The sequence below is a fragment of the Homo sapiens genome, chromosome 1 (genome assembly GCF_000001405.40).
Source record: "Homo sapiens chromosome 1, GRCh38.p14 Primary Assembly".
NCBI classification, from domain to species: Eukaryota; Metazoa; Chordata; class Mammalia; order Primates; family Hominidae; genus Homo; species Homo sapiens.
This window is the reverse complement of record NC_000001.11, coordinates 244011646-244034464: the sequence shown is the minus strand read 5'-3', so window position 1 is coordinate 244034464 and position 22819 is coordinate 244011646. Positions and strand designations below refer to the sequence as shown.

Sequence of the window (22819 nt, the reverse complement as noted above, 5' to 3'; positions counted from 1 at the left end):
GCTCATAATCCTATGGGACCATCATATTTGCAGTTCATTGGTGACCAAAACATCATTAGGTGGCACATGACTGTATTTCTATGCATGCTGATACACAAAATGTAAAGTATCCTTATTTTTCTTTTGCCATCAGGTAAAGTTACATTTATGCCCAAAACACTGGAGAATAGTTAATTCACTGACTACAGAGGAATTCTGATGGGCTAAGACTAGGGTGAAAATGGCAAGCTCTATATGTTACATATGTTTAAGTGTAAACAAAGAAGTGTATACATGAACACATGTGTGTGTCTAAAATTGCATTTTGTATACGCTAATTTTTCCCTCACAGTAGGAAGCTTGCAGTTATTAACTGTAGCAAAGTCTTCTGGTCCCCTACCCCAATAGCTGTTCTCCCCTTCTTCTTTAGTGACAAAACTCTCAAGTACATGACTGCCCCCAAGTAAAGCTTTCCCAGCTTTCTTTGCAGCTAGATAGCTCCCTATGACAAATTCTGGACAATGAAATGCACGTGGAAGTGTTTTGTGCAGTTTACAGGAAGCTTCCTTAAAAGACCATGAATATGCCTTTTGACCCTTTCTTCTTGGTTGCTTTCTATTGTCTGGAATATGGACGTGATGGCTGGAGCTTGGGCTGACATGATGGACCACAAGGATGAGAGCCACATTATAAGGAGGCTGGAGAGGAGAGCTGGAGGAAGTTTCTTAATTTAATGACTTCCTAAAATTACCATACCAGCCCAGGACTGCATCCTTCCCAACTTCGTTTCCATAATAAATAAATCAAGGTTGGTGGAGATATACATTGGTGCAGCCATTATGGAAAACTGTATGGCAGGGTGGGGGGGTTCCTAAAAAAATTAAAATAACACTAATATATGATCCAGCACTCCTATTCCTGGGTTACATCTAAAGGAAATGAAGTCAGTATGTTGAAGAGATATCTGCACTCTCATATTCATTGCAGCACTATTCACAATAGTCCGGGTATGGAATCAATCTAAGTGTCCATCGACAGGTGAATAGATAAGGAAAACATGGTATATGTACAACGGAATACTAGTCAGCGTTTAAAAAGGAGATCCTGTCATTTGTGACATGGATGAACTGAAAGGCTGTCATGCTAAGTGAAATAAGGCAGACACAGAAAGACAGATGCTGCGTGATCTCACTTATATGTGGACTCTAAAAAGTTGAACTCATAGAAGCAGAGAATGGAATGGCAGTTACCAGGGGTGAGGAGAATGAGGAGATGCTGATCAAAGGGCAGAAAGGTTTATTTCTGAGGATAGACTAGCCCAATGTGTTCTGGTTGGCGGGGAGAAGAATGTGGGACCCTCTTCCATGCAATTATTCAGAGACCAATCTTTTTCCATCTCGGCCACCGGAGACTCCAATCATCTTCCATATATGGCCTCCCAAGTCCCCACAGAATAGAAATAGATATCACATAGGATTATACAAGGAGATTTAACATGGTCCATGCCTAGGGTGGCATTTGACGCTTCTACCAACAAGCTATTGGCCAGAACTCTGTTGTATGGCCCAAAATTAACTGCAAGAGAGTCTGAGAAATTTAGTCTAGCTGTATTCCCAGAAAGAACAAACAAGAGCATAGCCTTCTCTTACCTAGTAAATAAACAGAAAATATAGTTTCCAATATCCCTGTTTTAAATTTATTTTCTAAAGGCCCACTTAACAAGGTCCACATGCTCAAGGATACAACTCACTATGTCACAAAATCGTCTTCTTATGTCATCTTAATATTGAAGCATCTAAGACTCAGACATTTCTAATAATGGAAGATGAGCCTCCAGAAATGGTGTGGCTTTGATCTCAAGCCCTGGCCAGCTACTGTTCTTCTTATTCCTACTGTTGCCCTTCTTCCTTGTTTGTGTGCTTTCCCATGATGAGGCATAATTTTTGAACATCTATAGAGGACGTTAAGGAAAGCTTCCATAGGGCTTTATATCCCAGCACTTTGGGAGGCTGAGGCGGCTGGATCATGAGGTCAGGAGATTGAGTCCATCCTGGCTAACATGGTGAAACCCCGTCTCTACTAAAAATACAAAAAATTAGCCGGGCGTGGTGGCGGGCGCCTGTAGTTCCAGCTACTCGGGAGGCTGAGGCAGGAGAATGGCGTGAACCCGGGAGGCGGAGCTTGCAGTCAGCCGTGATTGCGCCACTGCACTCCAGCCTGGGTGACAGAGTGAGACTCCGTCTCAAAAAAAAAAAAAAAAAAAAAAAAAAAAAGAGGCAGGGCATGGTGGCTCACGCTCATAATTTCTCTATTCAGAGTTCAGCATCATTGTCAAGTATTATTTGGGAGGCTGAGGCAGGAGGATCACTTGAGGCTAAGAGTTTGAGACCAGCCTGGGCAACATAGCAAGACCCCATCTCTACAAAAAATTTTTTTAAAAAATTAATTAGCCGGGCATAGTGGTGCACACTTGAGGTCCCAGCTACTTGGGAGGCTGATACAGGAGCATCACTTGAGCCTGGGAGATACAGGCTGCAGTGAGTGCTGATTGCACCACTGCACTACAGTCTGGGAGACAGAGCAAGACCCTGTCTCAAAAAAAAATTCACTTAACTTGTAGTCTGGGAGCATATTGCTAGAGATAACAATGGATCATTGAGGCAGATAGAGCTTTTTCATTTCCTTTTATACTACTGTTGTGTATTTTATAGGCTATTGTTATAAAAAGCTACCTGATACTTGGGCAAAATAAGATCATTTAGGGTATTTTTTTTAACAGGGTGAGACACTTCAAAAACAGACAGTCAGACAGACAGATATATAGATAGAATTCTATTTTCCTCCAAAAAATCAATCACGATGGTTTTATTGAACCAACGTTTCCCACAAATTCTGGACAATTACCAAAGACAATCCATTTCAGGAAACATGATTGAGATAAAAATGATAGATGCAAAAGGAATAATGTTTAAAATTCCATTTCGGCTTAATAATGAGTTTGTGGCCTGCATCATAAGGCAAGTTATTATCCATCACATTTTATCATGAGACTCTTTCTTGCATTTTTATAAAAATTTTACAGCCTCTATTTTCAGAACTGTCCAGAAGATGTTGTTACTGTTCACTGTTGTTTCCTTTGATGGTTTGATTTTTGAAGTTCAGCTTTTTTTCAGAGTTTTGAGGCATATGATAGGCAGAAGGTAAATTTTAGGAGATTTGTCTATTTCTTAGGGGGAAAATGAAGCAAGATTTAACTCTTTGGCTTGTTCACTGGAAATACAAAAATGAATTTAAAATTTTTCTATTAACTAAAATCTGAAGTATTGATGTTTATTTAGGGTACAAGAGGAAATTGTACAAAAATACTTTTCTAAAACCAGGAAACAATTTGAAGTTAAAAATGAAAAGACTTTTGATTTGTTTTTGGTATGTTTCAAGGAAGCCCCATTTGGGGGTTATTTGGGTTTAGAATAACTGGGGTCACATGTCTAACAGTCCTGGCACGTAGCAGGCACTGAAATAGTTTTTGAACCACGAATGTGAATGACGAGGACCCCGCAGGACTGGGAGAAGAAGATCACCAAGAGGGAGACTTGAGAGGCGGGGCGTGGTCTTCGTTTCTGGTAAAGAATGAGAGGTTGCCTGAGAATGCCTAGCCCTGCAGCCCACAGGGAGCCCTAGCATCTCTAAAGAGATGTAGAGGATAAAGTTCCTAACATGTAATTATTCCACTCTCGTCTACCATAAGGAAATCACCAAGTATCTGCCAGAGGTTTGTGGCTTAGAGAAGGAGGAGGGATTGCTCAGCTGCCTGACCGTGGCTCTGAGCTGTAGGAAAACCATCAGGAATTCTTCAGCCCTCCTGTGCCTTCTGGTATGGAGCCAGAACTAGACTAATCCCTTCTTTCCCCCAAATCTTTCTCCATGTGTCCAGGCTTGTAGATCTGACCACGGGCCTCGGTCACTAATTCACGACCTTTAATGCTCATCAGAATCGCCTGGGGGCTTTTCCCACAATACTGGTACCAGGGTCCCACCTCAGACTTACTGAACCCAAATCTCCAAGGATAGGGTCTTGGCATGGGATCCGAGGATATGTGCCTTTTAAAGCCTCCCTGTTGAAGCCGTTGCTCGTCAAAGATCAAGAAACCCTGGCCTGGCTTACCTCTGCAGTTGAACGAAGCATATTGTTACTTGGGGCTTTGAATGCAGTTGTCACAGCCTTTGGTCACCAGCTTGATCTGAAAAGACTAAATTCATGTCCTCAGTCACCGGTGACTGTGTGATCATGAGTGAAATGCTTAACCTCACTGCAGTCTCTGTCCCCACCCCTAAGATGCAGGGACTAGTCTGGGTATCTTTATAACGTGCCACCGTCTTAAACAACTTATCCAATTCCTAACCATCTGGACTGAGTTTCTGTGAACATATGAACACTCAAAAAAAGAAAGACTGAATAAGTGCAGGTGGACTATTAACAACTACAGAAACCGTAACAGTCTGGATACTCATTTAACACCATTAAAAGAATTAATGCATTCCTTGGTAAATAAGTGGTTAGAGTATGATTAAATATGCCTAATATTTTTTTTCTTTAGAAAACCCAGAAAGTACATCATTTCCAGTTCAGAACAACCTGGTCTATAACCAAAGATACTTTCAAACAAGAGGCCAGTCAATGTCAAAACATTGGATTACAGTTGTGAGACTATCAAATAACTAAAAAATGAGATTATCATTTTTCAGATTCCTTTATTATCTCCAGTGCTCAAGCTACAGACAGAAAGGAAAAAAAAAAAAGACTACTTGGGATGAACATTGTGTGGAATTTTTTATTTAGCCTGCTGTCTTTTTGAAATACCGATTTTCATCTATTCTGAGTCTTTTGATATAGATAAGTTAAACTTGAATGAACAGTCTTTTTGTCTAGCTTGCCTCATCCTAATAACAAGAATGGAGTGTGCTTTTTTCCCCTTCAGTAGTTTATAAATAGTCCTTATAAAACTGCCCATTACCTTTTTATATATGCTAAGCTCATTACTGAAAAATTACACCTCCTCACACCTCCAGGCCTTTCTACGTCTAAATGAAACTCTTTGCACTTAAATGTATATGGCAGGAAAAATCAGCAAATACTAATGTTGAAACCCCAAGGGGGCAGCCTGCACACAGATGAAAATATGACCGTGCACATACACAGTTTTTGTTGCATGACACCAGGCCTTGAGGAGAAAACCAAGCCAACCCCTGCATAAGAGATTTCACAGGGGTAAGTAAAAGAACCCAGGGCTCTGGTATACCCAGATTCAGATGTCAACTCAAAAAAGTCCATAGAAACCCTGACGTTGTTTCAAAGCACAGCGTAAGATTAACAGTGCATAAACCACAGCACACTTTTGTTAAATTCACATTTACTTAATAATACATAGCACCAACTTTGCAGTCAGATGTCGAGGCAGCAGGCAAAACAAGTTATTTTTAGGAGTCTGGCCAAGGACCATTTGCTCATTCATGAGAGTGTGCTCTAAGAAGTCCAAAGCCAAGATATCAAGATAGGCCATTATCCAGGCAAAGGCTGCAGGGCCAAACCGCCTCACAAGGGGAGTGCCATCCGCCACCCAGGGAACCAAAGGAGAGACAATGTGTGGTTAACACAGGCCCATTGCTATTATGAGAAAAATAGCCAGGAGCATAACCACTGATGGTGATCAGGGCATTTGCTATTCAAAGGATGGCTTATTGGTTGGTTTGGCTAAAGACTTGGCCAAGGAATCTAACAGGCAAAATTTATCTGAAGACCAATTTACTTCTTAGGAAAGAGAGTCAGGTAAGGGACCAACTATAGCAGCAATTTCAGCTAACACTGAAATGCACCTTGCTTAGTTCCTACTGCTTTGCTGGCAGTTTCCTAACTGTTACCAGAGCTGCAGAACCACAGCTTCCCATTTCATCAAGATGAATTGCAGCAAATCAGAAGTGATTTGGACACACAGAATGCCTTTTCGATGTGATATACCTAGCATGGGCTGGGAAGGAAGAGCAATAAGAAATACCTTGGGGCCAGGTGTGGTGGCTCACGCCTGTCATCCCAGCACTTTGGGAGGCCGAGGCGGGTGGATTGCCTGAGGTCAGGAGTTCGAGACCAGTCTGGCCAACGTGGTGAAACCCCGTCTCTACTAAAAATACAAAAAAAATAACCAGGCGTGGTGGCATGCACCTGTAATCCCAGCTACTCAGGAGGCTGAGGCAGGAGAATCACTTGAACCAGGGAGGTGGAGATTGCAGTGAGCCAAGATCGCGCCACTGCACACCAGCCTGGGGGATGGAGCAAGACTCCGTCTCAGAAAAAAAAAGAAAAAAAGAAACGCCTTGGGAAGTGAAGGATATAGAATACCTTATTCATTAGCTTAGTTGTTAAGGCTTTGTTGAGCTTTTTTTCACATGCCATGTACTGTGGCAGGCAGGAGGGATATCAAGACGCACAGAACACCGCCCTGCCTTCTAGCACTTCCATGCATCCTGGCATCTATGAATAATAATATTGCAAACAAATACGCCACTCTCACTACAGTTCCTTGAGTTTACCCTAAGAGAAAGGGGTTGGAACCTATTCATTTTTGCATAAATGATTCTCTTTCTGACGAGTGTGACAGTGTTGCCCACCCCACTTTCCCTTAGGTGGAGCCTTGTGACTAATTCTGTCTGATGGACTGTGGACCTGTGAATCCTACAGGTCAGAATCGAAGAGGCAGCGCCCAACGCTCCAGCTGTCTCATCCCTTGCCCAGGCAGTCAAGGAAACCTCCTGCCGAGACGGCAGAGCTGCACCGGTTACAGCATGAAGGGCGGGTGCCAGGGAGGGTCACCCAGCCTGCGGCGGACCTCAGGAGTGAGAAAAGGCACTGAGACGTGGAGGTCGTTTTTCGTTTTGTACTGCAATATAGTGCCTGTTTCATACCATTAATAAATGTCTGTTTTGCCTAGGACTTTTAGAGAAGACAAGAAATCACAGACTCTAGAGATGAAGAGGCTTTATGGATTAATAGACTTACCTAGTGCAGATCAATCTCCCAGTGGAAAGAGATCAACTTCTCCCGCTGTGCTTTTTCCTCTCAATCAGTGTGGCTGTCACAGGGACTGTTCCCAAGGCTCTAAGGTGTTGGAGCTGCTGCCTCCCTCAAGCCCAGCTTCTCTGGACACCCCGATGCCTTCGGGTAGTCCAGCCTCAGCGCATCCCTATCTCTTTTCTTCCTAATTTAGTGGAGGCAAGATTGGGATTTTCCAAGTGAAACTTCATTAGTAAGAAATGAAGATAAAATAAGTACAAATGTATAGAAACAGATGGATTTGCTGAGTATAGATTTCTAATCAAAATGGATTTGATCCTCCTTTTCCATAACATTGGGAAGATATGTTTTGATCGTTGCATCCTGAACGCGTTCAGTTCAAACATACCTAAAACAGAAAGGGGAGTCTGAGGTACCTCATGACTTGGACAGACACTGGCTTTGCTTATCTACCCAAGATTACAACAACATAAGAGACACCATCTTTTCTATGGAACAATCATATTCCCTCTGAACAATACAACTCTTCAATAGCAATATTCTCATTAACAATTAATTTGTGATGTTAGAGCACTTCGTATGTTCCAAGTAACAGCTATAGCATTGTGAACAATAATAGTCATTGCTGTATTTTAAGCCTATTCATGCACAGAAGAGAGTAAGGAAGTTCTTTATAATGTAAATGATTCCCAAGTTCTAGAAATTCAGTTTATCCTTATAAATATGACTCAAGTTCAAATTATTCTATTACAATATATAATTGTTGGGGCAACAAGTTTTTATTTAGTTTTCAATTCTTTAAAAATAGAGAATCTATATTGAATCTTATTTTGAGGTAGAAGTGGCCACAGATGGAAAGTTAATGCTTTCAAGGTACAGTTTAACTCTCTGGAAGGAGTAAATCATATTTATTTCTGGTTCAAAAAAATTAAAGAAACTTTCTCTTATGTGTACCTTTTTTTTCCTTTTTTTTTTTTTTTCTTTGAGAGAGAGTCTCACTCTGTTTCCCAGGCTGGAGTGCAGTGGCATGATCTGGGCTCACTGCAACCTCCACCTCCCGGGTTCCAGTGATTCTTGTGCCTCAGCCTCCCGAGTAACTGGATTACAGGAGTGTACCACCATGCCTGGCTAATTTTTGTATTTTTAGTAGAGGTGGGGTTTCACCATGTTGGCCAGGCTGGTCTCGAACTCCTGGGTTCAAGTGGTCTGCCTGCCTTAGCCTCCCAAAGTGCTGGGATTACAGGTGTGAGCCACCGTGCCCGGCCATGTGTACCATTTTTTTAACCTTCTGTAAACCCAGTGTTTCATAGGGGAGTATGATATAATGATTAAGAGCACAGACTCTGGAGGTAGATTCGTGGATTTTAATTCCTCCTCCACCACTTAAATACCTATGTGACCTTGAGCAAGTTCCTCAACCCTCCTGGGCATCATCTAACCTGTAAAATGAAGATCATAACTGTCCCTGTCTTAAAGAAGTACCTGACATACTGCATGCAATTAAAGTGTTTGTTAAATAGAAATGAATTGCCAGATGCAGTGATGCACACCTGTAGTCCCTGCTGCTCCGAATCTCTTGAACCCAGGAGTTCAAGCCTGCGGTGTGCTATAATTGTGCCTATCAGTAACCACTGCTCTCCAGCCTGGGCAACATTTTCCTCTTAAAAAAAGTAAAAAAATTCATGAACTACCTGGGAAGCCAAACACCAAGAATACAAATACTTTATTCTCCATAATACTCCAAGGTAGAAGGCAGAAAAGAAAACATTCCTAGGCCGACCTCCATAAGAGCGATGGGTACAGGCTGTTTAGGGAACTCAAATTCAGAAGACTCTCAGAGCCTTTGGCTAACTACATGACAGCAAATGACTCAGATATGCCAAAGTTAGAATGAAGATTTTCTAGGGCCAGCAGGATCCACTAGAGCACTGCTAGTGGGAGTAAAGCTCATATTGGCATGCCCAGCTCAGCTGAGCACCAACAGAGCCGTGGCATTGGTAGCACACCCACATTTGCACCTCTGTATTAGGGAATCCAAGAGCTCTGACAATCAAAGAGATTTGTTTGTTTGTTTGTTTTCGTAAGTGAAGAACAAACTCATATGGCATCAAAGCTTGTCCTGAACTGAGATGAGGCTATTTGGAGTCTTTATTTATTTCACTGAGTGAATCTTCGTATGTTTCACTGCAGAAACATCGATGAGTTTGCTTATGAGTGCTGCCCCAAGTCTTCCTAGGATGTCATGTTATAGGATTTATGCACCATGTTACCTTTCTAAAATCTGCAAACTCCTGAATTCCGAATCCCTTCTGGCCCCAAGCATTTCAGATGAGGGATTATGGACCCGTACCTTCTTACATGTGACGATTTCTGCTTGGAAGTGGGGAGGTCACTGACAGCTCCATGCTGTCTCCAATGTTGGAATGTGAGCTTCATGGAATCTTCTTCTCTTGCCTCAAAGCCAGAAGGTAGAAAAAAGAATGGAGCCTCCAATGAGAGAGAGAGAGAGAGAGACTTTGACAAAATATTTGAATAGTTCCAGGAAGTCTTTTCTCCTGAAACTACTGCTGTGTGAGTGTGAGGCTTGCTGTAAAAATGTGTAACAGGTGTCTGGATGGGAACTGAGATACAGAAGGCATGGGTGATCAAACCCTAGGGTCTCAGCAGCAGCAATATTTTCCCTCCCTCAATAATCCATGGGTCGAGCGTTAGCCCTAAATAGCAGGAGGGTGTCGGGGATGAGTGTGAAAACATCAGCTCTACACAGGAGGTGTACAGACCACAAACTGCTCTAACAGAAAGGCTCTGCTGCCTCCCACATCGCATTTATGTTTGCATTTGGTCACTAAGTCCTTCCCCAATCTCATCCACCTTGCTTACTCAGAGTATCCCAGAAGTCAGCCAATAATAGATAGTTAAAGTGATGGGCAGACAATTCCTCCCACTCATCATGGGGGCTTGGATCCTGTCGTCGCTGATCTTTCTTATGGATTAGACCAGGTGCCTTCTAAACTTCTCACCTATAAACTTAACAACTCCTACAAAACGATGCCACCCAGATGGCTGCAGGAGCACTGCTACCTCTTGACACTTAGATGATTTTGGCTCAGAGCTCCAAATCTTCATCCTGCAGAAGTTAAACCCCCCACCAAGGAACCTATGAATTCCTGGTATAGAAAATCTGTCTTTCTCATGATCACCTCGTCCTACAAGTGTTGTCACTGGACTGTACCAGAGACCCAGAGGTGAAACTTAATTTCTGCTCCCAGAAAATGCACTCACAAAGAGCAAATTAAGTATGGAATAGACTTATGCAAAGATCTGGAGGGAGGCAAAGAGGATGTTTACATGGCTATGGCTCAAAACAAGTTCAAATTGAATATTAGACATCACAGTGCTTTAAAAATAAAATCACCCACTCTATTATAGGGCACATTTGACTCTTCCTTTTATTAATAACTGTAACCCAGACCATCCAACAGAAAAACAATCTACGTATGCAATTTAATATTTCCTGGTAGTGGTATTAAAAATTAATTTATTGATTTTAACCTTCCTTATTTTATCCAATATTGGGAATTTGAATTTCAACATGTAATCAAAATTTAAAAGTATGAATGATGGTTTTAACATTCTTTTTTCATAATGTCTTTCAACACTGTGTATATTTTACACTGACTGAGCTCATTTCAAGAGCTCAGTAGCCAAACGTGGCTCATGGCTGCCTCAGTGGCCAGCCTGGTCTTCTCTCCACCCCAGCCTCCCTTCTTGAGCCCTTCCTCACCATGCCCACAAATAGTCCCAGGAAAGTTCAAATTCCTCTTGATTTTACAAGCCCCTCCCTGGCATCCGCTCCTATATCCCGGGCCTATTTGTGCTTAGTCAATTTCTGTTTTTACAGAGCCATTTTCCTTAGAAGTGAGTTGGACTTTGAATAGCAATTTCTTTTCTTCTCTTACAGTAGAAACCATTATTATCATCTCAATCCCACAGAGGGGGAAACTTGAGCCCCAAAGTTAAAGACATCACAGCTAACACGGTACGATCATGGCAAGTGCAAGGTCAGCCACAGCTCCTCCGGGGTTGCCTTTCCGCTCCAAAAGGGTGAAAGCACAGGGCCCAGAGCTGTGGACTGGCTGTGTTGTTCCCCTGATTTACTCTCTGGGTCCATCATGAGCCTGTGTGGGGCTCCCAATGTCCTAGGCTCAGTTGGACCTTTGCTCTTTCCTCTCCCTATACTCTCTCTGACAATGAAATCTTTACCTCAACCTTCAGTCCCATATCTCCAGCTGCCTACTAGACACTTCTCGATATTTGCATGTAAAACAGAATTACCTGCCGCCTCTCTCTCTCCGCCCCCACCACCCTCCCACTGTCCTATGTACACAATCCAGCTCTTTGTAAGACATAAGACATAGTCTCTGTCAACCCACAACCCAGGTCACCTTGGCCCTGCACCTCTTTCGTGCTCCACAACCTGCCGACTACAATTTTATAAGTGTGATTTTGAGACTTTTAAGTGGTAAACTGAATGTTATAAGTTTACTAACTTTTAAACACTATTAGAATACTTGATAGAACTTGAGAGTCACAATATTCATAACTCCCAATTTAACCAGATTTATAAAACTTTAAAATCGTTGGAAGGTTTTGTTTGTTAGGGTTATTAACTTAAGCCAGATCAGATATTTGAGTTGCTTAGAAAGCTAATTAAGTGTATTAAGTTTATCACTGCAGTTTAAAATGCTTAAAGGAAACTAATAATTAACATAAATGGCACTAATAGTTTAAGGGGAATTTAGTCCTTTCAACTCAAGCCAGTCAAAAACTACTCAAAGGGCTGGGTGAGGTGGCTCATGCCTGCAATCCCAGTGTTTTGGAAGAGGCTGATGGGGGAGGATCCCTTGAGGCCAGGAGTTTGAAGTTACAGTAAGCTATGATTGCGCCACTGCACTCCAGCCTGGGTAACAGAGAATTTGCCTGAGGCCAGGAGTTGGAGACCAGCCTGGCTAACATAGCGAAACTCTGTCTCTACAAAAAAACAAAACAAAACAAAACAAAAACAAAAAAAAGGCTCTAGGAAACTGGGCTTTTACATTTGTCATTCTAATAAATTAAATATTACACTAAAACGCCCAGGTCTGTTGTGCCCCTTGAAGATGTGGGGAGGTGGCTTCTCAACTCTTTAAGCGACCATGAGGTCCACTGTTGGGCGGGCATCTTTGTTACTGAGTTTGTCAAAGAAGACCACAGTCAGGTCATTTTCCAGTGGTGGCTCAGTGGTGCCACAGCAGGCAAGGAGAGGGGCCGGCGGGGCAGGCAGGATGGGGCGGAGTGGAGAAGGCCCATCAACCTTGAGGGAGGCTGGAGCCCCAGAAAACAGAAGAGCCCTTTGCACACATGCTTCAGCTTGGTGCTATTCCCAGAGCTCTTTTGAGGGCACCTTCTCATCTGCCCTCAAGTGCATTCATTATTCCCAATTGTTCAGCCATGGCAGCTGACACTCCATGAGGGTTGGTGACAAGTTCAAGTCCCAGGCCTACAGGCAACAGAACCTGAGGACCCCTGTGCCTCCTGGGTCCTGGTTCTCAGGTTGTCACCACCACACTCCACTGTCCTGAGAAATCAAACACAAACTCTCATGGAGAAGCAGAGAGGTCCCATGGAGCAGATCAATCAAATCTGTAAGCACATATTACATGACTGTCTTGAGATAAGGCTGAAAAATACTTGCCATGGCTTTCATGCTTCTGTACAGTGTGACTATTGTCTCTCTCAGTGGACTCCATTTTAATGACACAGCACTGTCCCCAGCAGGAGCCTGTCTGGTGAATGCAAGTGGGGCCCGCAGTATTTAAATCACATTCAACACTGTAGGCACTCCAAGATGGAAGGAGAATTCCCTAATTAAAGTTTTGTTAGATGGCTGTCTTCACTGTTATTAATTTTATCAAAACAGGGCTTCCTTATAGTGTTTCAGGGGCACCATCTTCATAGTTAAAAATCTGCTTTTGAGGAAAATCGGGGGAGGGGGACCCAGCACAAAGTAAAGGATATTTCACATATGCTTTAATAAAATAAGAGGCAGAAAAGAAAATAAGGCAGTTAGCCCATGTATATTTTTGTTTCAAAGCCATTATATCTAGGAGACGAAATAAAAGATCAATATATCAGACCCGTTATCAGTTACCATTTTAATCATCAAGCCATATGCCTATCATGTTTCTTTGATAATAGCCAAACACAAACATTGGGACAAGAATGAAGAATTGCTGTACTACTAAAAAAAAAAACCTAGATATTCCTCTTCCTTAGAGCTAACTTTTGCCACTTATTTGAGCTATAAAAACAATAATGTTATATGTAGGGTTGTTAGATTTAGCAGACAAAATACAGGACACTCAGTGTCTTAGTCGCTTTTGTGTTGCTATAAAGGCATACCTGAGACTGAGTACGTTATACAGAAAAAAAGGTAGATTTGGCTCATGATTCTGACGGCTGGAAAGTTCAAGACTGGGAATCTGCATCTGGTGAGGGCATTAGGCTGCTTCATGATGGAAGGTGAAGAGGAGTCAGTGTGTGCAGGGATTGTATGGCAAGAGAGGAAGCAAGAGAGAGTGGGAGGTCCTAGGCTTTTTTTTTTTTTTTTTTTGAGACCTCCATCACCCAGGCTGGAGTGAAGTGGTGCGATCTTGGCTCTCTGCAACCTCCGCCTCCTGGGTTCAAGCGATTCTCCTGCCTCAGCCTCCAAAGTAACTGGATTACAGGCATGCACCACCACGCCCGGCTAATTTTGTCTCAAACTCTTGACCTCAGGTGATCTGCCTGCCTTGGCCTCCCAAAATGCTGGGATTACAGGCGTGAGCCACCACATCCAGCTGGTGCTAGGCTCTTTTTAACAACCCACTCTCATGGGAACTAAGAGTGAGAACTCACTCACTCACCACTCTCCATCACCCAGGGCATTCATCTATTCATGAGGATCACCCCATGACCCAAACACCTCCCATTAGCCCCACCCCCAACATTGGGGATCAAATTTCAACATGAGGTTTGGCAGAGACAAATATCCAAAACGTAACACCCAGTTAAAATTTTCATATAAGTATATTCCACATACTGCATGGGACATGATGCAATAGTTAGGACATGACTTAAACTAAAAAATTGTTATAAAAATGTTCATTGTTTATGTTAAATTCAAATTTAATGAGGTGTCCTGTGTTTTACCTGGCAACCATAGACGTATGGTCATTGTGGTTATGCATGCCTAGCATCTGTGAAATGTCCCCCTCCCTTCATTTCCCTCAAAAGCAGATTTGTTTGTTTGTTTGTTTTGTTTTAAGATGGAATTTCACTCTTGTTGCCCAGGCTGGAGTGCAATGGCACGATCTCAGCTCACTGCAAGCTCTGCCTCCTGGGTTCAAGCGATTCTCCTGCCTCAGCCTCCCAAGTAGCTGGGATTACAGGCATGCACCACCACGCCCGGCTAATTTTGTATTTTTAGTAGAGATGGGGTTTCTCCATGTTGGTAAGGCTGGTCTTGAACTCCTGACCTCAGGTGATCTGCCCGCCTTGGCCTCCCAAAATGCTGGGATTACAGGCGTGAGCCACTGCACCCGGCCCAAAAGCAGATTTTTAATTGTAAAGATAGTGCCCCTGAAACACTATAAGGAAGCCCTGTTTTGATAAAAATTAGTAACAGTTAAGACAGCCACTTAACAAAACTTTAGAAAAAAAATTAAACAGGTAGCACAGGCATAGTCTTCTTTAGTTATCATTTCACTGTTGGATAAAGCAGTCTTTCCTAACCTGATAGAGTTTCCATCTTAGAAAAGTGGAGTCTGGAGGAAGTTGACCAGGGTTACTTAGCTAGACTGCAGTGGAACAGAGTTCAGATCCAGGTCTGTGGAAGTCCAAAGCAGCTCTTCATCATGACCCTGTATCACCTCTCAGACACAGAGCTAATAATGCAGGCAACCATGGCTTTAAAAAAAAAATGTGGTAAAATACACATAACAAAATCTTAATTATTATTTTTTTTTTTGAGACCTAGTTTCGCTCTGTCTCCCAGGCTGGAGTGCAGTGGCGCAATCTCAGCTCACTGCAAGCTCCGCCTCCTGGGTTCGCACCATTCTCCTGCCTCAGCCTCCTGAGTAGCTGGGACTACAGGCGCCTGCCACCACACCCGGCTAATTTTTTTGTATTTTTAGTAGAGACAGAGTTTCATCGTGTTAGCCAGGATGGTCTCGATCTCCTGACCTTGTGATCTACCCGCCTCAGCCTCCCAAAGTGCTGGGATTACAGGTGTGAGCCACCATGCCCAGCCAAAATCTTAACGATTTTTAAGTGTACAGTTCATTAAGTGTTAAGTACATTGACATTACTGTGCAAACAATCTCTAGAACTCTTGCAAAACTGCAACTCTGTTCTACAAAACAACAACTCCTTGTTCTTCCTCTGGTCAGTCTCTGGCAACCACCATTCTCTTTTCTAACTCTGTAAATTTGACTGCTGTAGACACCTCATAGAAATGAAGTCATGCTGTATTTGTCCTCTTGTGACCTGCTTGTTTTTCACTTGGCATAATGTCCCCAAGGTTCATCTGTGTTGTAGCATGTGTCAGAACTCCCTTCCTTTTGAAGGCAGAATAGTATTCCATTGTGTGGATATAGCACATTTTAGTTGACCCAAAGATCCACAGATGAACACTTGGGTTGCTTCCAACTCTTGACTATTGTGAAGAGTATTGCTATAAACATGGGTGTACAAATATCTGTTCAAGACTCTGCTTTCAGTTCTCTTAGGTATATATGCAGAAGTAGAATTGCTGAATCATATGATAATTCTGTTTTTAATTTTTTGAGACACCACCATACTGTTTTCTACAGTGGCTACACCACTTTACATTCCCACCAATGGTGCACTAGAGTTTCAATACCCAACATCCTCACCAACACTTTTATTTTCTGTTGTTTTAAAAATAGCAGTCCTCCTAATGGATGTGAGGAGGGCTCTAGGACGAAATCCGTCTCCATGACAAAATCAAATAAACCATTAGAGTTGATTTTGTTTTTATTAATCTCATTATTTGTTTTGTTGGAATCTGAAGAGATTATTTTACAGAGTCATTTATTCCATTACTATTATAATGAACACTAACATGGTTATTACTAATAGTAATGAGCAGTGTATACTGAGCACCTACTGGAACCAGGCATTAACTGGGTGCTATGCAACCATTCTCATTCAGTCCTTGCAACAACCCTACAAAGTAGATGCTCACCAGTATTGTTTTCATGTGACAGATGAGGAAAAGGCTGCTTAGAGAGAAGTTAAGTAAGTTGTCCAATGTTATGAAACTTGTAAAGCTGGGATTTCAATCCAAATATTCTGACTCCAGCAGGGAATGGAGGCTCACACAGGTAATCCCAGCACTTGGGAGGCCAAGGTGGGGGGATCACTTGAGGCCAGTTCAAGACCAGCCTACGTAGTGAGATGGGGCAATGTCACTACAAAAAAAGTGAAAAAAAATTACACAGGCATGGTGGTGCACACCTGTAGTTTTAGCTATTCAGGAGGCTGAGGAAGGAGGATCATTTGAGCCTGAGAGCTCAAGCTGGCAGTGAACTATGATCACACTATTGCACTCCAGCCTGGGAGACAGAGTGAGACCCTGTCTCTAAAAAAATAAAAATTAAAAAAATAATGAATTATTGTAAACTCACTATTTAAAAACCCAAATATTCTGATTCCTACACATGACCCTTTCGATGGAGCTTCATAAGAAAACACCACCCTCCCACTCAAGATGATCAATTTGAGGGTCATTAAAAATGTGTTGTACCATGGGACCTTTTGAATACGACTCCTTTCAGAGAACTTGAAAGCTTCTTTTTAAAACCTGCTTTATTAAGCTATAATTCACCTATCATAAAGTTCACCCATTTAAAGTGTACAATTCAGTGGTTTTTAGTATGTTCACAGATACGTGCAAACGCCATTATAGCCAATTTTAGAACATTTTCATCACCTCAAAAAGAAACTTTGTACCCTTTGGCCATTGCCTCTCATTCGCCTGATTCCCCCTGCGCCTAAGCAACTACTAATGTACTCTCTGCCTCTGTTGATTTTCCTATTCTCGACTTGCATATGAATTGGATCACATAGTATATATTTTTTTTGTGATTATTGCCCTTGGCATAATGTTTTTAAGGTTCATCCATGTTGTAGCATATATCAATAACAATACTTTATGCTCTTTTATGGCCAAATGAAATTCCACTGTATGGATATAGCACATTTTGTTTATCTATTCACCCATTAATGGATATTTGGGTTGCTTCCACCATTTGGCTACATGAACAATGCTGCTCTGAACACTCATGTTTAAATGTTCGTGTGGACGTGGGTTTTTATTTCTCTTGGCTATATACTGTCTTAGTTTCTTTGGGCTTCTATAACAAAATACCATCAACTGGACAGCATATAAACAACAGAAATTTATTTCTCACAGTGCTAGGGGCTGGGAAGTCCAAGATCAAGGTACTGGCAATGTATTAGTCCATTTTCACACTGCTATAAAGATACTACCTGAGACTGGGTCATTTATAAACAAAAGAGGTTTAATTGACTCACAGCACAAAGCGCAAGTGCTGCACTTTCAAACCATCAGATCTCATGAGAACTCACCCACTATCATGAGCATGGCATGGGGGAGCCATCCCCATGATCCAGTCGCCTCCCACCAGGTCCCTCCCTCCACACGTGGGGGTTACAAGTTGAGATGAGATGTGGCTGGGGACACAGAACCAAAGCATAGCAGGCAGATTCCAAGTCTGGTAAGGACCAACTTTCTGGTTCATAGACGGCCATATTCTTGATATAAACTCACATGGCAGAAAGAAAAGGGAGTTCCATGGGGCCTCTTTTATAAGGACACTAATTCCCTTCATGAGGGATCTGCCCCCATGACCTAGTCACCTCCCAAAGCCTCACCTTCAAATATTGGGCATTAGGATTTAACATATGAGTTTTAACATATAAACATTCAGTCTATAGCATATACCTAGGAGCGGAATTACTGAATTCTATGGTAACTCCATGTTTAATCAGTTGAGGAACTGCCGGACTGTTTTCCAGAGCAACTGAAACATTGTACATTTGCACCAGAAATATATGAGGGTTCTGACTTTCCCATATCCTTCCAAAACTTGTTATCTGACTTTTTTATTCTAGCCATCCTGGTGGGTATAAACAGGTACCTTGTGGTTTTGATTTACATCCCCTGTGATGACTAACAATGTCAAAAACCATGGTATTATTATACTTCTCTGTGAAATCCTGCACACTCTCCTTGCCTCTTGCTGCAGTGACAGACCTGGGTTCAAGTCCAAGCTCTGCACTTAAAACTGTGACCTTGGGCAAATTACTTAATCTCTCGGTGTCAAGGTTTTCATCTGTAAAATGAGAAAAGGCCTGTAAAGCATTGAGATGTGCACCTAGCAAACAACATTCAATACATATGAGCAATTATTATTACAAGGCAGTGAGATAATATCATACATGAGAGTGATTGGTGCTTAAAACACTTCAAATGCTTTCTCATTGCCTACAGAGTAAAACCCAAGGTCCTCAGTATGGCCCACAGGACAAGTCTGATTTGTATCTGCTTCTCAAGTTTTATCTCCCAGTGATCCGCATCAACCTCTAGGTTTTAATAACACCACACTACTTGTAGTTTTTCCAAACACCATGTCTTTTCATATCTCCATGACTCTGTTTATGCCATTCCCTCCGTCTGAAAGCCCTCTCCAGTTTTCTTGGCGCAGTTAACATATACAAATCCTTTAGGACTCAAAGAGATTGGGTTGGGGACTCTTCTACAGACGTTCATTGCTTCCCTTACCTACTGTTTTATATTGAAATGATCTGCTAGGTGTCTATCTCCAATATGCAGAAAACACCTACCATGTACCAGATAATGTGCTATGCTTTGTGCTGTGCAGAATGGCATATATGATTCCCGCTCCCACTAAGCAGAGTTTGAAGGCAAGAAGGGATCAAACTTTTTGAGCCTTGTGATATCCTTAAATCATACTAGCTTGCTGCATAGTAGGTGCTTTAAAATGTTGTCAAACCAACCAGAATCGGATGTGTACAGAAAGGACAGCCCAGCCCAGTTCTGAACTTCCTCCTAATACATGTGTTTTATTGACTGTTTTAAAGAAGCTAATGGGCAGGGCAAATTCCAGGTAAAATTAAGTGTAAGTGTCTCTTAGGCTCATGTCCACCCTTTAAGCTTTCTCTTGTAGGGCCACCAGGCATCAGATACCCAGCGTTGTCTTAGCTATGCTTGGGCTCCTGGCTCCCTCTGCCGTCACTGTTATTTCCTCCTTTCTTTTGGCACTTTGGGAGGCCAAGGCAGGTGGATCACTTGAGGTCAGGAGTTCAAGACCAGCCTGGCCAGCATGGTGAAAGCCCATCTCTACTAAAAATACAAAAATTAGGAGGGCGTGGTGGTGCATGCCTGTAATCCCAGCTACTCTGGAGGCTGAGGCAGGAGAATTGCTTAAACCCAGCAGAAGGAGGTTGCAGTGAGCTGAGATGGTACCACTGCATTCCAGCCTGGGCAACAGAGCAAACTCCATCTCAAACATAAATAAATAAATACATAAAATAAAATCTCTCATATGCTCCTTTCTCTATAGTGTTAGCCTTTCTGACACAGAAGCCCAAATGTGAGATTCTCCTCTCTTATACAGCAAGGAGCTCTTGCTGTCTGGGACACACAGATGACACCACTACAAGGAGAGACATAGCCACTCGACCAGCGCAGAAGCAACATCTAGACTGGCAAATTTCTACCAGAAGTGCCTGAAAGTGCTGATGATTTAAAGTTAATCCAGTTAATATAAAGTTAAACTGGTTAAAAGGATAAGCTCCTTAAAGAAGATTCATTTAAGAGGGAATTTTAATGCTGGCAATTTCTACAAGGCCTTATGAAGAGACACTCTGAGGGCTGAGGAACGTCATCCTCCATTATCAGCATCCTCAATTACAACAATTTGTATTTGTCCTGATGGACATTAGTGGATCAGTTTATACATGTAATATTATATCAGATATGCAATAATATGTAACATAATATTGGATAATATGTTCTGACTAATAAAATTCAGGAGTTCAATCCAGCAAATACAAAGTAGTCCAGGAAGTAAGATTATTTCCTAACGACTATAGCCACCCAACCTCTGGGTTTTTCCCAGTACATGGCCTAGGATCTCTATCAGGGATGACAAGTCTGTGCCCTGTTGGATAAGGATGCGTGACTCTTCCCTACCAGAGTGTGAATCCACAAAGGCAGGTCCTCTGGCATACTCGTCTCTGGTTCTACAGTGCCTAATAGATTCCTTGGCCCAGAGAAAGAACCAGAAACTCTTGTGGAATGGGAGAAAGAAGAAGGCCAAGAAAGAAGGAGAGAGGTAAAATAGAACCCAGAGTTGCCTCTGGCCCCATAGGGCCATAGATGGTCACTATCCAGCAACTTAGAAAGTTAGGAGGAGCAAATGGTATCGTCTGTGCCATCAAACCACAAATGAGATTCCCTTTAGCCAAAAGGTACAACAGTTGCATTAAGTCAGTTTTGCCAAGAGCTCTGTTCTTTCATTTAGTTATCACTTCAGAAGTTACCTAAACTTTTTCTCAGCTACGGGAATGATTAATGCTGTTATGACTGAAGAAGTTACCATAATAACTCCTTCACTGTTCGTAACTTTCTAAAATTTCAGTGTCTTTGGCCAGTGGCTCACACCAGTAACACTTTGGGAGGTCAAGGTGGGAGAATTGCTTGAGCCCAGGAGTTGGAGACCAGCCTTCGCAAAATAGCAAGACCCTGTCTCTAAAAAATTGTTACAAATTAGCCAGGTGTGGTGGCATGCATCTCTAGTGCTGGCTACTCAGAAGGCTGAAGAGGGAGGATTGCTTGAGCCTGGGAGTTGGAGGCTGCAGTGAATAAAGATTGTACCACTGTACTCCAGCCTGGGCGACAGAGTGAGACCTTGTCTCAAATAAATGAATAAGTAAGTAAACAAATAAGTAAGAAATAAATAAATAAATAAATAAATAAATAAATAAATTTCAGTGTTTTGGTTAGAGTTTTCTCCATTTTTCCCCAGCCCAAAGGCAGCTTTTGGGAGTTTGGGAAATAACTCTCACATTACTTTTAATTTGGTAAAAATTAAATCCTCATTCTTTCCCCCTTACGGTAAAACACAAAATGGAAATAAAATATAGAACCAACCATCTTCCCAGGGTGAATCAAGAAGAATTTTGGGTTCAAGTTAGGAAATACTAATTATTCTCTTTTTTCTGAGTCTTTAAAAAATGACGTCTTTTATTACAAATATTGCTTTGCCTTTTCCACAGGCATAATACATTTTACCTTCAAACAACCCAAAGCCCCGGTGCTAAATTATGTTTTCCTTCAAAGAGGATATAATTTCATATTCCACCAGCACAGCATTTTCAGGCTTACCAATTAAGGCTGTAGAAGAAATTATCACTCTTCTAGTTCCAATCCCTCTTACCTAGCAAAAACCGCAGAATGAAATGGAAAGTCCCGCGTAAAGGTTAGGGAAGCACTCCAGTAAACTGAATGAATGAACATGGATGCTAAATTTTGAGAGCACCATGAATGCTGGCTGTGCTTTGCATTAATAATTAGCACAGTGTTCCCTCATAGAGAGGAGATATGTCCAAACTTGGACTTTCATGACAATTACCCTCGGAGTTTCATTTTGCCTTTTCATCTTTGTCAGTGCTGGCACCAAGCTTGCTGTTGTATGTCTGGCTCTATCAAACAATAAAAGTAACCCATTCAAAAAGTCAAACAACAGGAGTGGTTTTTAGGAAACCAGAAGCCAAACTGATTCACCAGGTTGGCCTCCTTCCCAGGGAGAGAGATAATGCTAGCTAGTCGTCGTAGCCGTTAGCCTGGGCAGGAGCAGAGTGATCGCACTTCAGGATTCCCGACTACATGGCTGGCCAGGCGAGTTAAAGAATGTCTAGGGTGAGAGTGATAATGGAGGTGACTCTGGGTTGGAGCAAACCCTGAATTAAGTTGGTACATTCAAAGTTGCCATAGAAACCCTGTCTGAATGTCCTCGCTTCAGCAGAATTGATTTTATGTTTAAACGTTAATATGCCTTCTTATACTTAATGATATACAAAGTAGAAAGAAGATGAATATGGAAGAAAGAAAACATACTCTAACATCTGAAATACTTAAGCCATTAAATAATTTTCCAATACTAAGTCAGCCTTTGAAACTGATTGACCAAAGAAGAGGTAGCGTGGGTTGCCACGACTGGGAGCTGTTTAGGAAAGTCTTTACGCCTTTATGTCAAATGCCGCTGCACTCTCAAAGGCACTGCTGTAATTCAGCGAACCCAGCTTGTACTTGAAGCCAAATGAAATGCAAAGTTGCCTTTCAATAGCAAACCTCACTGAGGAAATGCCAGTTAGCAATTGTGAGAAGTTTCAGCTACTGTATTTTCACAGATTGCATTTTTCCACTCAATGTCCGTGAGAAAACATTTGGAGGCTCTTTAAAAATGGTTACATTATCAATTAATCTATAGTATGTTTTAAATAAATATTTCTATTAAATGTAACAAAAACCGGCATTTGTATTGCTTGCACCTAAATTATCATCATCATTGCAAAGCAGATGTGGAATGCAAGCCGAGGCGAACAATCGGCACTGTAATTTGC

At 42.0% G+C, this 22819-nt stretch overlaps 1 long non-coding RNA gene across 1 annotated transcript in view; it reads right to left on the bottom strand.

Moving 5' to 3' along the window:
• Positions 1 to 22819, bottom strand: part of LINC02774 (long intergenic non-protein coding RNA 2774) — a 129916-nt gene that overhangs the window by 12853 nt on the left and 94244 nt on the right. The window contains exons 7-8 of the long non-coding RNA NR_033883.1: positions 9396 to 9499; positions 7031 to 7229 (exon numbers count right to left, since the gene is read on the bottom strand). This is a non-coding gene — a long non-coding RNA (long intergenic non-protein coding RNA 2774). The remainder of the gene's footprint in view (positions 1 to 7030; positions 7230 to 9395; positions 9500 to 22819) is intronic.